This window comes from Homo sapiens, chromosome 7 (genome assembly GCF_000001405.40).
Source record: "Homo sapiens chromosome 7, GRCh38.p14 Primary Assembly".
Taxonomy (NCBI): domain Eukaryota; kingdom Metazoa; phylum Chordata; class Mammalia; order Primates; family Hominidae; genus Homo; species Homo sapiens.
In genome coordinates, this window is record NC_000007.14 from 107,127,687 (window position 1) to 107,144,464 (window position 16,778).

Consider the following 16,778-nt stretch of genomic DNA (forward strand, 5'->3'; position numbering starts at 1 on the left):
TGTAAAAATATATTCGGCATCTAATGCCATATACATTTAAACATTTTACTTCTTTCCAGGGACCTTATCAAGATTCAAAAGAAAGAATTACATCCTGAAAGAGTATTAAACTCAGTAGAAACAGAATGACAGCAGTCCAAATTTTCAGTGTAGCTGCTGGCACCTGTTGTCCTTTTGTACGGGTCCCCACTGGCTGGGAGCTTTGGAATCTTCCTAGCCAGTCACAGTTGTGTGCATAATGAACTTGCTAACCTAGGGGAAAATATGCTTTTGAAAAACATTTCAGTGCTATATTGATGAATGGATACCAACCTCCCCCGAACAAGGTGAATTATGTTCCCCTACTTGGTAGGCTCATAAGTTACCAGTCACCAAAAGTGAATCTCAGCACCAACCTGAAGCAAACTTGAGCGCTAACAGTTCTTCTTTCTAATGTTGGTTCTGATTTTTGTTAGTTTTTAAAATCTCTTTGAGTGAGATGGTATTGGCTAATGTCTTTGTTTTTTAAATCTGATGTCCTTTTAGATTATACATCCAAAAACTGATGATCAAAGAAATAGGTTGCAAGAGGCTTGCAAAGACATCCTGCTGTTTAAGAATCTGGATCCGGTAAGATAAATCTTAATAATAGAAATGGCTTTGTTTTTTCCCCCAGTGACAGTGTCAAGAACTGTACAGGGTCTTGAGTTTTGCCCTCTTTGTAAGCTGATCACCCTGGGGTGATGGTAAAGGCCCCCTTGCGGATGCTTGAATGCACAGTAGGTTGAACTGCAGGAGAGGAATATTGAGTTTGGGGGAATATACTGCTGTTGGAGCAAGAAGTAAAGAAGCCTGAGGTGTTTGTCCTGTGGAAGATATTCTCTCATCTCTCAAGATGTTATCTCAGGGCTACAAAAACAGCCCTGAGAAATGGCACAGGTAAAAAGATGGTAGGAACTTGCCCTCTTCGTACCCATCAGGAATATGCAGGGATGCTCAGGGCCCATGGAGGATTGTTTCTCTTTACAGCCAGTGGTAGTAATTATATTTGAATGTGTATAAACTCATTATCTGTGTATTATACAGATTAAAAGTAATATTTCACTTGGCTTTAAGGTGAGGTTTTTTTTTTTTTTTTTTGGTCCTTTATAAGGATTTGGAAATCTCTAATTTTTGGGTTCGGTATTTCTAGAATACCCACTCTTGGTATGAGTGCACGTGCTGTTCAGACTTTGTCTTGCACTGTGATGTACATATTCTGCTTCCTTCATCTCAGATTATGCTTAGTCATTGCTGTATAGTTATTTAGGAGTGAACCTCTGCTGCCATATTCCAAATGTGAAAATAGAGTCAACTTTTGTAACTTACCTCGACTTTTTTATTTGGTCAAACTCAACATCTTCAAGTTTTTGGTGATGCCCTAGAGGAGAAGCATTAAATCAATACCTGCTCTTTTTAAAATGAGGTCTTCTTAAAAAGGACGTTTTTATAAAGATTCATGTACTGCATCATACCAGTTATATACTGCGTCATATTTACAGTCTGAAATATTTTAAAAATCTCTTTTGTTTCTAGTGTAATTTATGTTTATATTACGTCTTCCAGAACACAGTACATTGTGTGACTTTGGAGATTTATGTTAGGCCCACACATTACGAGTTTGTATGTCCATCTCTGAGTCTCCATTACTGGCTTTGATAGGCCTAAATTTGACCAGACCCAGGATCCATCAGTCACTTCATCTGTCCATTGTCTGAGGGCAGGAACTGTGTCTTTTGTATCTTTGCATCACTCTGTAAGTAGCAGATGGCTCACGGCCCTGTACGCGCACTAGGCTCTCAAAAGAAAACATGGGACTGAGACAAGAATGCTTTAAGTTATCCTTTTGTTACAGGAAAGAGGTCCTCATCCAGACCCCAAGAGAGGGTTCTTGGATCTCGCACAAAAATGAATTCAGGGTGAGTCTGTAAAGTGAAAACAAGTTTATTAAGAAAGTGAAGGAATAAAACAATGGCTACTCCATAGACAGAGCAGCCCCGAGAGCTGCTGGTTGCCCATTTTTATGGTTATTTCTTGATGATATGCTAAACAAGGGGTGGATTATTCATGCCTCCCCTTTTTAGATCATATAGGGTAACTTCCTGACATTGCCATGGCATTTGTAAACTGTCATGGTTCTGGTGGGAGTGTGGCAGTGAGGATGACCAGAGGTCACTCTCGTCACCATCTCGACTTTGGTGGGTTTTGGCTGGCTTCTTGACTGCAACCTGTTTTATCAGCAAGATCTTTATGACCTGTATCTTGTGCTGACCTTCAGTCTCATCCTGTGACTTAGAATGCCTTAACCATCTGGGAATGCAGCCCAGTAGGTTTCAGCCTTATTTTACCCAGCTCCTATTCAAGATGGAGTTGCTCTGGTTCATGCACCTCGGACACTTTTATAGTTATCTAAGTATACATATTTAATCCTAAATAATAGTTTTGGATAGATTTGTAATAAAATGATGGTGTTTAAGTAATATCTAATTCAAGTCTTGTTAAAAGTTATGCCGGGCCGGGCGTGGTGGCTCATGCCTGTAATCCCAGCACTTTGGGAGGCCGAGGTGGGTGGATCACGAGGTTAGGAGATCGAGCCCATCCTGGCTAACATGGTGAAACACTGTCTCTACTAAAAAAATACAAAAAAGTTAGCCGGGCGTGGTGGCGGGCGCCTGTAGTCCCAGCTACTAGGGAGGCTGAGGCAGGAGAATGGCATGAACCCAGGAGGTGGAGGAGTTTGCAGTGACCTGAGATCACACCACTGCACTCCAGCCTGGGCAACAGAGCGAGACTCTGTCTCAAAAAAAATAAAAATAAAATAAAAAATAAAAAAAAGTTATGCCAAACCCTTGAACATAGTTACAGTCTCATGGTATGAATTCAGTAGTTCAGAGTGGCCCTGATAGATCCTTGTCCATTCAAGTTTGTTTGCTCAGTTCATTCAATCCACGTTTGCCGAGTACCATCACTTACCAGCAGTGGGAGTTAGTGCTGAGGAAGCAAAGACCTGGTTCAGTACCCTGAGTTGATATCAAAGCTAGCCTATGGATCCCATGTTCTCTAAGGCAAGGACCAATGTAGTATTTAACTCTTTTGCTCCGGAGGCACACAGAAGGCAGTGGTAAAATTAATCCTTACTTTTACACTTAGAGGTAGGCTTTATTCAAGAAGTCTGTATTTTTTGACTAGAACTTTACATGGGAGAATTTCAGAGGTCACCAAAAACAGTGCTCTCAAGCTTTAATATGCTGATGTATCATCAGGGGATCTTGTTAAAATGCAGATTTGGATTCTCATGGTCTGGAGTGGAGCCTGAAAAGTCTGCATTTCTCACAAGCTCCCAGGTAATGTTGATGTTCTTGGCCCACAACATACTTTGAATACCAAAGACTAGAGCTAGATGTGAAAATGTTCAAGTTCAGTATTTGGTTACTGTTACATGTGTTATGTTTGCATGCTTTCCTATTCAATGAACCAGTATTTTAATGCTTCAGCGGGGACTAAGTCGTGAAATTCTGGTGTCTGTAGGGTTAAGTGACACACAGGCATAAATCGTTGCTAATTATGCTTTCCTGGGATGTTGTCTCTTCTGTTCTGTCTTCTAAATTAATTGATCTTCCTTGCCATTTCAACTTTAGCTCTTTAAAAGCATTGTGAAAATTTTGGTTGCATTTTAAATTATTAATATTTAAGAAAGCTTTTGCTAATACAGTCTGGCAAGGAGCATCTTTGCTTAGTGTGATTATTTTGTAAACATAAGAGTTCTTTTAGACTTTTTTTCACTGCTTTGCTGAAGGTCAATATGTATTTTAAAAACCAACACATAGAGGGAAAAAACATCCAGTTTCTGAATTGTCATGATCGAATGTTTTATAGAGAAGAAGCAAATGTATATACATAGTAGTTTTCAGAAGACCTTTTTTTTGAATTTGAGCTCAGACCACCTTGAATGACTCCCTTACTATTTAAATCCTTCCAGAGATGATATAGGATATAAGTAAGTAAAATTTATTTTTCTCAGCAAATTACCACCTGGAATAAGACATTTAGCCCAAAACATGGCAGATTAGAGGTTTTAGTTTAAGCTCATATTGTAAAGTAGCTTTCTAGTTTTTTATGATACACATTATTTACAATAACCCAAATGTGTTTTAATTGAATTACATATTCAGCTTATATAATCTGCTTATCATGCAGCTCCTTTCATTTTAATTTCTTGACTACTATGTTTCAAGACCTGTTTAAAGTGTTGGAGGCCACAAAGATATTTAGAGATGGTTGTTGTCCTTTTGGAATTTATAGTTTAATGAGAGTACAAACACATCTGCAAAGCATGTTGGGAAAACATGATATATTGCTGTAATATGGTCAGGGCATGGTGAGAAGATGTCTGTCTCTTAGCTTACCCTAACAGTTCAGAAAGCTGGAAAGGTCACTGAGCTGTGCCCTCTGAAAATGAGGAGGGAATCACCAGGTGAGGAAAAGTACAGAATGTTATCACTAGAGCCTAAAGTGGCAACCATCCAGTGATGGATGGCCTCCATCTAGTGATGGGAGTGATGGAGCTAAGATGTGGATGCTTTATCAGGAAGGCCCATTCTTTCTCGAATGCTATGCTGTGGCACTGGACTGCCTTGTAGGCAGTGGGCACAGCTGAAGAGTTTTAGTCAGAGAATGTAACTATCAGATTTATCTAAGGTCACTTTGGTGGTAATGTCGAAGATGGAGTTAAAGAGGGGAGAAAAACAGGGGAAGCAGACAAGAACAAAAGAGTGAAGCCCAGTAAGAAAACGAGGTCATGATCTAGGGAAGAGAAATGGGCCTGAACTCCAGGGAAGGGGGAAAGGGACAGACAGAAAAGAATGGTTTCACAAAAAAGGGTTAACAGAACTTGGTACTTGGTGATTGATTTAGTTGGGGACTGAAGGAAAGAATCTAGGATGGCTCCCAGTGTCTAGCTGGAGTGACTGCGAAGTTGCCACCTTTTCCTGAAATGGGAAAACTTGAAGGAGGAAGGGGAAACTAATTAGTAATTAGCAAGAAGAATGATCTTGGCTTTGTGTCTACTATTTCATTTGAATTTCCCGAAGTCATTATTTAGCTTGAAAATCTTACACTTCCTAGACTTCAGAAAATTTTTCCTTAGAGAGCTGTATATTCATATGTTGAGCACAGCATTTATAATTATTAATCTCTTTGAAGATATTCTTTTCATGAATATTTTAATGCTCCACTCAGTAGGCCATTTTCCTCCTGAAATATTTCTAATTTGAGGCTAACTGAAATAATTTTCTTAGGCTATATGATAGGCTCTTTCATTAATGAAGAGTAAATTGTTATTTCTTAAGTGAGTCAGAGCCCTTTACTGAGCTCAGTCTTGAATTGGCATTCTGTAGGAGAATTAGATGTGGATTTCCTACAGTAGTTGTCAGTTATCATGATAAGCCTCTGCATATTAAATATTTCCTAAGTTCTTTTCACTCTGTGCATAATTATGGGGAAATTACATTTTGATTGACTAGAACAGACACCTGTCTGTATTTTATCAGGAATTGCCTTTTCATATATCCGTGTATGAATTCTTCAGTTTTATAATGTTTTCAAATGCAGCTAATTCCAACATCACAAAATAGTTACTATAGCAATTTATTTCATCTTTTTTCCCCATTTGACATTTAGAGTCAGAACTAATCAATAAAGCTGATGTTCACCCTCTACCTGCCTTAAAAAAGTCAATATATAAATAGCAAGCAAAACAATATATTAGTAAATCATTTAATCAACCTTTAGAATTTTGATTGGTGACCATATGTTGCCTGAGTTGATGAACTCATTTGGGTAGAATGGTCCCTGTGGGGCCAATTAGCACTACATCACGAAAGGGCTGTTTCACTGCTACCTTGGCTTCATCTTCAACCTTGGCTGCTGTTCCACAAAAAGATGCCAGAGCTCACACAGGGACCCAAGGAGGGGACGAAAACTGCTTCCTGCAAACCCATCACCATCATTCTTCCAAAAGTTTTTCTTAGCCTATATGAAGATGTAAAATTATGTTCTCAGTTTAATTAGAGTTTTTTTAGTTAATTAAAAAATATAAATCAGTATACATGTAAAATTGACAAACATTCAAAAAGAACAAAAGAGTAGTCAGTGAAAGGAAATCTCCTTTTCACCTTTGCCTCTCAGAAACCCAGTTTCTCAGGAACTATGTTCTTTTAGTACTATCTTGTATATTTTTGCAGGGTCATGCAATGCACATACAAATATATTCTTTTTCAAATTTTGGTGGCAGCAGAATAGACATACTGTTATGCCCTGTTTTTTTTTGTTGTTGTTGTTGTTTTTTGAGAGTCTCGCTCTGTTGCCCAGGTTGGAGTGTAGTGGCACGATCATGGCTCACTGCAACCTCCGCCTCCTGGGTTCAAGTGATTCTTGTACCTCAGCCTTCTGAGTAGCTGGGACTACAGGTGTGCACCACCATGGCCAGCTAATTTTTGTATTTTTAGTAGACATGGAGTTTGACTATGTTGGCCAGGCTGGTCTGGAATTCTTGGCCTCAAGTGATCTGCCTGCCTCAGCCTCCCAAAGTGCTGGGATTATAGGTGTGAGCTACCGTGCCTGGCCTGCCTTGTTCTTTTCAAATTTAACAATATATTAGTATTTATAGAGGTTCCATATTCTTTTTAAAAAATATTTTCATCAGCATTGTTTATACAAGTTTAAACTATTAGCTTTTATGTATTATAAAGCTAAATCATGATAACACATTAATGTTTTGCTGTTGCCACTATGTTATAATTGTACATATAACAGCAGATTCCAAGTAATCAAAACAATATTTAAAAAGAAGAACAAAGTTGCAGGATTCACATTTCCTAATTTTACAACTTACTGAAAAGCTATGGTAATCAAAACCATATACTGGGCTCGGGTAGACATATAGAACAATTGAATAGAATTGAGAATCTAAAAATAAACCTATATACTTATGGCCAATTGATTTTCCCACAAGAGTGTTAAGACCATTCAATAGAAAAAGAATAGTTTCTTCAACAAATAGTGCTGAATCCCTGGATATCCACACACAAAACAACAAAGCTAGACTCCTTTGCATATACAAGAATTAATTCAGAAGGGATCAAAAGCCAAAGATATAAGAGCTTAAACCATAAAACTCTTGGAAGAAAACATAGGAGTAAGTCTTTATGGTCTTAGATTTAGCATTGGACTCTTAGACACCAAAAGCATAAGCAGAAAAGAAAAAAGATAAATAGGACTTCACACAGATGTAACATTTTTGTACATCAAAGGACATTATTTTAAAAAGTGAAGACAGTCTGCAGAAGATAAAATTATTTGCCAATCATATATCTGATAAAGATCTAGTATCCAAAATATATAAATAACACAACTCAACAATAAAAAGACAAAAATTCCAATTTAGAAATGGGCAAAGTGCTTGAATATACAAATGACTGGCAATCAAAAAATTTTCAACGTGGTTAGTCGTTAGAGAAATACAAATCAAAACTACAATGAAATACCACTTCATCCCCACCGGGGTAGTTACAATTTTAAAAAAGGAAAATAAAGTGATTAATTTTATGTTATGTGAATTTCACCTCAACAAATTTGTAGTTCCCTCTCACCACTCCTTTTCAACATAGTGCTGAAAGTCCTGGCTAATGCAATAAGACAAGAAAGTGTAGTAAAATGTATTGAGAAGGAAGAAATATACCTGTCTTTGTTCACAGATGACATGATTATCTAAGTAGAAAATGGGAAAGGCTTCCAGAGCTAGTAAGTGATTATAACAAGGTTGCAGGATACAAGGTTAATATACAAAAGTTAATCACTTTCCTTTATATCAGCAGTGAACAAGTGGAATTTGAAATTAAAAATACAATACCATTTATATTAACATCCCCCCAAAATGAAATATTTAGATGTAAATCTAACAAAAATATGTATAAGATCAATGTGAGGAAAACTATCAAATTATGAAGGAAATCAGGGAAGAATTTAATAAATGAAGAGATTTCCATGTTCATGGATAGGAAGACCCACTATTGTCAAGATGTCAGTTTTTCCCAAGTTGATCTGTAGATTCAATGCAGTCCCAACAAACGGATCCTAAAGTTTGGAGAGGCAAAAGACCTAGGAGAGCTAACACAATATTGAAGGAAAAGAACAAAGTTAAAGTACTAATACTAACTGACTTCAAGACTTAGTATAAAGTGACAATAATCAAGACAGTATAGTATTGGCAAAAGAATGTACAAATTAATCAGTGGAACAGAACAGAGAACCCGGTAACAGCCCCACTTAAATGCAGTTAACTGATCTTTGACAGAAGAGAAAAGGTAACACAATGAAGTAAAGATGGTCTTTTCAACAAATGGTGCTGGAAAAACTAGATATCTGAAAAATGAATCTAGAAATGGACATTTTATTTTTCACAAAAATTAACTCAAAATAGATCACAGATATAAATGTAAAACACAAAACTGTAAAATTCCTAGGCGATAACATGGGAGAAAATCTAGATGACCTTGGATTTGGTGATAACTTTTTAGATGTAACACCAAAGGCACATCCATGAAAGAATTGATAAGCTGGACTTCATTAAAATTAAAAATTTCTTTGCTGCAAAAGACACTGTGAGCAGAATGAAAAGACAGGCTCAGACTGGGAGGAAATATTTGCAAAAGACACAGCTGATAAAGGACTGTTATCCAAAATATACAAAGAACTCAACAGTAGTAAACCATCAGATTAAAAAATTGGACCAAAGATGTTAACAGACACCTCACTGAAGAAGATATACAAATGGCACACAAGCATATGAAAAGATGCTCCACATCACATGTCATCAGGGAAATGCAACTTAAAACAGCAATGAGATAGTACTACACATCTATTAGAATGGCCAAAATTTGAAACACTGACAACACCAAATGCTGGTGAACATAGGTGGTTCAACAACTCATTGCTGATGAGAATGCAAAATGCAAAATGGTACAGCCACTTTAGAAGATTGTTTAGTGGTGTCTTTTACAACTAAACATACTCTTACCATCCTCTCCAGTAGTCATGCTCCTTGGTATTTACCCAAAGGAGTTGAAAACTTAGGTCCACACAGAAACCTGTACACAGGTATTTGTAGCAGCTTTATTCAAAATTGCCAAAACTTGGAAGCAACCAAGATGTTGTTCAGTATGTGAATGGATAAATAAACTGGTACATCTAGACAGTGGACAAAATGAGTGATCTAGTTATGAAAAGACATGGAAGACATGGAAGAACCTTAAATGCATAATACTAAGTGAAAGAAGCCAATGTGGAAAGGCTATGTGCTGCATGATTCCAACTATTTAACGTTCTGGAAAAGGCAAAATTATTTGCAAGGCAGCCCTTGTCACCGCTAGACAGCTCTCATTCCTAGGCAGGTCTTTATATTCTGCCAAAACCTCCATGAAACTTCCACCCAACAGTCCCAGTTATGGCCTCTAGAACTACTGATGTCATGGTTTGAACAGAAGATAACTGGTGTATTCTCATATAGGTCTTTTCTGTCACCTAAACGCCTTGTTTCCTGAAATTCCCTCATTGCAGGTTTTCACATTTCTTGATTACCCTTCTTTGAGTGTTCTCTCGCTGCCAGTGACTCCTTTGAAAGACAGATGTCTGAAAATCCCTACATGCCTACAACAGCAGAGCTTTTTGGTGAATGGATATATGACAGCTTATTTATCCAGTGCCCTGTTGATAAACTGTTAGTTTGTTTCCAGTCTTCTGCTATTGTGATGCAAAGAAAAATGGTGATGCATTTTATAAATATCTATATAGTAACTTCCTAGAAAAGGAACAGTGAGGTGGAAGATCATGCATATCTAAAATTTTATTAAATTTTGACAAATGGCTTTTTTAGAGTTTGTTCCATTTTACCTTCTCACCGGAAGTCTGTGTGAGAATGCCTCTTTTCCCACACGGTCTCCAACACAGTGTGATATTCTAACATTTGTATCTTTTTGAATCTGGCGAGTGAAAAGTGGCATCTCATTTCGATTTTAATTTGGATTTCTCTTCATTTTCAGAGAAGTTGAGTAACTTTTCATGTTTTTAAGAATCCTCCTTTCTCTTTTCTGGAAGCTTTGCAGATCTTTTATCTTTAGTGTTCTAAAAATACATTATTTCATCCTAGTGTGGGGATTTATGGTCATTGACTGTGCTGGGCACTTGAGTGTGCCCTTTTGGTCTGAAAACCTGTGTTTTCAGACCAAAATTTTCTTTGGGTCTAGAAAATTCATCCTGTATTGTTTATATTTCCTCCTTTTTGTTTTCTCTTTTACTGTCTCTGGCACTCCTTTCTTTTCATCTCTTTATTGACTTTTTTTGAGGTGTTTGGTTTTAATTTTTTTAACTCTTTTATTTACCTTTAAAAAAATTGTAATGGTGGATACATGTCTTTACACATTTGTCAAACCCATAGAATGTACAACACCAATAGCAAACCCTAATATAAACTATGGACTTTGAATGATAATAATGTCAGTATAGATTCAGCAGTTGTAACAAATATGCCACTCCAGTGGAGGATGTTTATCTTGGGGGAGTCTGTGTCATGTGTTGGGGTAGAGGATATGTGGAGTATGTCTATACTTTCTGATTAATGTTCCTATGAGCTTAAAACTGCTCTAAAAAATTCTATTTTATTTTTTATTTTTGAGACAGAGTCTCATTCTGTTGCCCAGGCTGGAGTGCAGTGTAACAGTCATGGCTCACTGCAGCCTCAACCTCCCAGGCTCAAGCAATCCTCCAATCTTGGCCTCTCCTGAGTAGCTGAGACTACTCATTTTTTTGAGACAGAGTCTCACTCTGTTGCCAGGCTGGAGTGCAGTGGTGTGATCATGGCTCACTGCAGCCTCAACCTCCCAGGCTCAAGCAATCCTCCAATCTCAGCCTCTCCTGAGTAGCTGAGACTACTCATTTTTTTTGAGACAGAGTCTCACTCTGTTGCCCAGGCTGGAGCGCAGTGGTGCGATCATGGCTCACTGAAGCCTCAACCTCCCAGGCTCAAGCAGTCCTCCGACCTCGGCCTCCTGAGTAGCTGAGACGACAAGTGTGCACCACCATGCCCAGCTTATTTTTTTTGGTAGAGACGGGGTTTTGCCATGTTGCCCAGGCTGGTCTCACACTCCTGGGCTGAAGCAATCTGCCTGCCTTGGCCTCCCAAAGTGCTGGGATTACAGCCATGAGCCACTGAACCCTGCCAAAAAAAATCTATTTTAAAGAAAAAAAAATGACAATCATATTTTTAATTTCCAAGCCACCCATTTTTCTCTGATTTGCTCTTTTCCTAACATCCTATTTTTTTTTGGTCTCATGGATATAATATCATCTTAAATGTCTCTGCAAAAGCTCTCTACAGTTCCTGAAATATCTATCTCATGTGTTGTCATTTTGCTGTTTATCTTAGTCTTGTAGGCTACCAGGGGAGCAACATAAAGCTGATTTAGAGCTCTGAGTAAGTAGGGCAGGCCTGTCAACCAGTGCACTGTTTAGCTTGAGCTGACAGGGAGCCAGCTGTTACATTGGGGAACCCCTAAGTCCTACCAAATGAAGGTTTTTGTTCTAGGGCACCAGTGTTCACAGTATCTGTTCTAGTTCTAATTTGTTTAGTTTCTCTCGAATCTTTTGTCTGGGAGGAGTTGAGGGTCCACATTTGGCTGCTAGGCATTCTGTATTAGGGTAGAGGGATTTTGAAGGAAGGTGTCAACTAATCTCTGCAGGACTTTAAATCAGTCCGCTTGTCTTTAGCTTTGTGTCTCAGTCCCATGCTGGCAGAACCAGATGTTACCCACTTTGGACCCTCTTGGTGCTCTGCAAGGCATGTTGGCCCCTCCACACTGCAGTCTCACCTGTGCGACTTGGGGCAGCTCTCTCTGCCACTTGTTACTTACCTTCGCCCTGAAACTCTCTCATCCATCAGTTGTCCCTTCCTGTACTCTATACTATTGTAGATTCATATCTTCATATGCCTTGTAACATTTTCATGCGGTCTCAAAAGGGAGAGAATCACATGTGATCTGTTATCCTCTTTATTCAGAATATCTTGTTTCTTCAACCTGTGTTTTCCACTTGCATCTTTTTTCCCCTTTGAATCTATCTTCAACTCTTTAGTTTATGTATAATAGTAATTGATTTTGGCATGGGCAGTTAGCATTATACCTTCTGTATGCCCATAAGGAGTGACCTGACCAAGGGCTCAGAGCTAATAAGTAGCAGAACAAATAACCCTCTAAATCTTTAGACTTTTCCATTGTATTGTATTATTTCCTCATATCCATTTATTCTGTCTTTTCAAAGTTCTTTGAATTATTCCTGTATTTGTTCTGATTAAAGATTTCTTTCACCTCCTAGTTTATTCTCATCAGTTTGAAGTTTATCCTTGAGCCTTGTCAATCACACTTTGACAGAATAAAAATTTTACATAGTTTAATTAGTTGTTGAATAGTATTTTTGATGTTTCTGACAAATCTGCCCTAGTGAGCTCAGTGGATGCAGCTTGAAGCCAACCTTAATGACAGTGAATAGTGACAGAATATTTGCCACAGTCATTTTTGTTTTACTTTGTTGTTTTTCTTTTTTGTTCTGTTTTGATTTTGGTGCTAAACCAAAAAGAAGATTGGAATCAGGATCTAAATTCACCAAGTATTTAGGTTATCTGTACACAAATTTTAGTGATGACTAATATAAGGAAGTTTTTAAAAATGGGTATCTTTAAAAGAAATTTGAAATAATTCCTTACTAACCTGATCCTTTTTAGTTGCTAAGATTATATTTCACAAGGTATATGGTGGTTTGGTGGTTAAATTTTCATTTTAAAGTGGTGATAGTTGCAAATATTCTAAAATAGACTAATTATAATTACTTTCATTCAAATACTGAATGTGAGAGTATATAATCATCTTATTTGTATGTGGTAAGAAAGACTACTATGTATTTTTCTGACAACATTTAGTGGTAGTTATGATTATTTCCATTTCTTTGGACTTGTTCACAGAAATATAACTGTGGTTACTTAAGAAAACATGTTCTAGATAAACATAAAGATTATATCCCATCTTTTTTAAAAATAGGAGCAGATGTCTCAAGTATTAGATGCCATGTTTGAAAAATTGGTCAAAGATGGGGAGCATGTAATTGATCAAGGTGACGATGGTGACAACTTTTATGTAATTGATAGGTAAGTTTTGCCCAACCTTACTATTGAAATTGAAAGAACCTTTTGTGTAAAATCTCAACCATTATTACGGCAACTGACAGGTTAATATAGGATAGTTGTTATTGCCGCTACTCTTATTATTACATAATAGGCACTGTAAACCTGTTGTGAGTACATGCAGTGAAACCACAGTGGATCATGAAAAGAGACATAGTTTATAGAGGAACTAATGACTTTTGGTTAGTCTAATCTGTAAATGTCAGTCATTTAACATGAGCATCTTCATTTGCTGAATTCTAATTGAGAGATATTATGTAGTAGTATTAGTATGTACTAGATGCCTGTTACAGTGAGAACAGCAGTATAATATAACATCTGAGATATTAATTCACAGTAGACCTCAATTGGTATTTCTTAAAAGGTTCTTTTTTTATAAACTGTGTAAAACATGCTCATGGTTTAAAAAATTCAAAATTGGCGGAGTGTGGCGGCTCAGGCCTGCAATCTCAGCACTTTGGGAAGCCGAGGCCAGTGGATCACTTGAGGTCAGGAGTTCAAGACCAGCCTGACCAACATGGTGAAACCCCGTCTCTACTAAATACAAAAAAAATTAGCCAGGTGTGGTGGTGCACACCTGTAATCCCAGCTACTTGGGAGGCTGAGACACGAGAATTGCTTGAACCCGGCAGGTGGAGGTTGCAGTGAGCCGATACTGCACCATTTGCACTACAACCTGGGCAACAAGAGTGAAACTCTGTCTCAAATAATAATAACAATAAATAAATAAAAATAGGAAATGCAAATATTTCACAGGGGCATAAGGTGAAAAGTCTTTCTTCCTACTGCTTTAACATCATCCAGTCCACATAAGTAAGTAGTTTGTGCATCCTTCCAAGAATTGTATATTATTATATTTGTCTTAAAAAAACTCTATAATTATTTAAAGAAGTCTTGCATTTATGTTGAAAATCTGTTTTCAGGAAATTTAAGTTGTGCTTTACCTCATCATAGAACAATATGCCTTATGCAATAGATGAATCCTGAAATCTAACAGCAGAGCAGCCTGAGCTGAGTCCTTATTTCTTCACTTTTGTAAAACAATGATAAGTGTTCATGAGACAATTGGCATCCCTGACCCCTCCCCTTGTGTGTGGAACGCAGGTCCTCTCCCAGCCTGACTTACTGGGTTACGTTTGCTCTCTGGGCTGGGTTGTGTTCACCTCAGAGGTCTTGGTGAAAATGACCTCTTTGGTCTCCTGAAGCCTCATTTCGTTATTTTGGCTCTGTGGGTGGTATCTTTCATGCGTCAGTCGAGCATGCTGTTTAAATCAAGAGTTGTCACTGATTCTCCCATTCCCTCATCCCAAATTCCTGGTGACCTGTGGCTGAAGCACTAGCCAGGATTTTAGAATAGAATAAACCAGTTATCTATATGTGAATCAAAGTAATGATTTTTATATCATTAATAGCTATCATCACTGAAACACCTCAGAAATGCACCTAAGTGTGTTTAATTGTAGAGGTGTATGAGAAGCCCTAACCCTCTATGATCTTAACCATTTAGTGGGGATTTTTGACTTTCAAAACTGCCTTACATTTGTATATAGTGTATTCCCTTTTCAGTTAGATCCTAGTCACCCATTTGGTAGATGAGAACATGCAGGCCCACAGAAGTGACAGCACTTGGTTCAGATCACCCAAATGACTGGCGTAGAGCCAACTCCACAGCCAGGTCTCCTGCCCTGTTCATGTTCTTTCTGGAGGTTCTTGCCTGCCGGAGGCCTTGTATTATCAGAGAAGAAGTCTGTGTGAAAAAAACAGCCCAAGATTTTTTGTTTGTTTTTTTTTTTTAAACAGTCTTGCTCTGTTGCCCAGGCTGGAGTGCAGTGGTGCGATCTCGACCCACTGCAACCTCTGCCTCCCAGTTTCAAGCGATTCTCCTGCCTCAGCCTGCGGAGTAGCTGGGACTACAGGTACCCGCCACCACACCCAGCTAATTTTTGTATTTTCAGTAGAGACAAGGTATCACCATGTTGGTCGGGCTGGTCTCGAACTCCTGCCTTCAGGTAATCCGCCTGCCTTGGCTTCCCAAAGTGGTGGGTTTACAGGTGTAAGTCAGTGTGCCTGGCCTAGCCTGCGGTATTTTAACAGATTTTAGACTGATGTGATTTCAACTGGACTGATAGCTCATTTTACTTCTCCTCGGCACATTTGGCTTTGTTTTACCCTATTCAAAGTAGCCGAGTGTAGAGAACAGTTTCAGCGCAAAAGTATAAATAGTGTAAATCGAAGAGTTTAATCTGTACAGCATTGCTAGTCTGAAAATCTGAAATTCTCCAAACTCCAAAGCATTTTGAGCATCAACATGATGGCACAAGTGGAAATTCCACACCTGACCTCATGTGATGGTTTACAGTCAAAATGCAGGCACACAACAGCTTATTCAGCATCCCCGAAGGGGTTAGTGTACGAGGTACAGTAACTTTAATCAGAATATAGCATTGTAGGTGGAGACTGCAAGCCTGCCATTGTTTGTGGTTGCTCTTGTTTGGCAGCTGGTGCAGGTATTCTGGGGATGCTACTATGCTGCTTAGTTGCCCCAAACACATTAGTTTTTACTGTGTTAATGGTATGTCTTATTTTTTACTGTTAAGTACTTATGTGTGAATACAAGTAAAAAATGATGGCTTATTGGTAGCATATAAATTCAGAGTCAGGAATGATGGTAATGCTGAACAACCACAGATTGTCCACATGGGTGGTTGAGATAATGACACCTTTGCTTTCTGGTGGTTCAATGTACACAAATTTGGTTTCATGTACAAAATTACTCAAAATATTAAATAAAATTATATTGAGGCTGTGTGTATAAGGTATATATGAAACATAAACTGATTTTGTATTTAGACTTGGGTCTCATTCCCAAGATACCTCATTCTATATATGCAAATATTCTAAAATCTGAAAATATCTAAAATCTATAACACTTCTGGTCCCAAGAATTTTGGATGAGGGAAACTAACCCTGTACTTGAAAAATGATTATCCATGGGACAAATTCTAGTAGTTTCCCTTGAAACAGTCATTCTATCCGTGAATGACATTGAAAACCAATTCTTTTCTTATTTATTTATTTATTTATTTATTTATTTATTTATTTATTTATTTTTGAGGCGGAGTCTTGCTCTTGTTGCCCAGGCTGGAGTGCAGTGGCGCAATCTCAGCTCACTGCACCCACTGTCCTCCTGGGTTCAGGTGATTCTTCTTCCTCAACCTCCCGAGTAGCTGGGATTACAGGTGACTGCCACCACGCCTGGCTAATTTTTTTGTATTTTTAGTAGAGACGGGGTTTCACCATGTTGGCCAGGCTGGTCTCAAACTCCTGACCTTGTGATCTGCCCACCTTGGCCTCCTAAAGTTCTGGGATTACAGGCGTGAACCACTGTGCCTGGCCATGAAAGCCAATTATTTTCTTCTGTCTATCATGTTTCTGCTGTTATTGCTTCTTTATTATTAATAATCCTTTTCTTTCT

The 16,778-nt window shown here is 38.1% G+C and overlaps 1 protein-coding gene across 1 annotated transcript in view; it reads left to right on the forward strand.

Moving 5' to 3' along the window:
• Positions 1-16,778, forward strand: part of PRKAR2B (protein kinase cAMP-dependent type II regulatory subunit beta) — a 117,107-nt gene that overhangs the window by 82,982 nt on the left and 17,347 nt on the right. The window contains exons 4-5 of the mRNA NM_002736.3: positions 526-609; positions 13,161-13,267. Of these exons, the coding sequence (NP_002727.2) occupies positions 526-609; positions 13,161-13,267 (191 nt within the window). The remainder of the gene's footprint in view (positions 1-525; positions 610-13,160; positions 13,268-16,778) is intronic.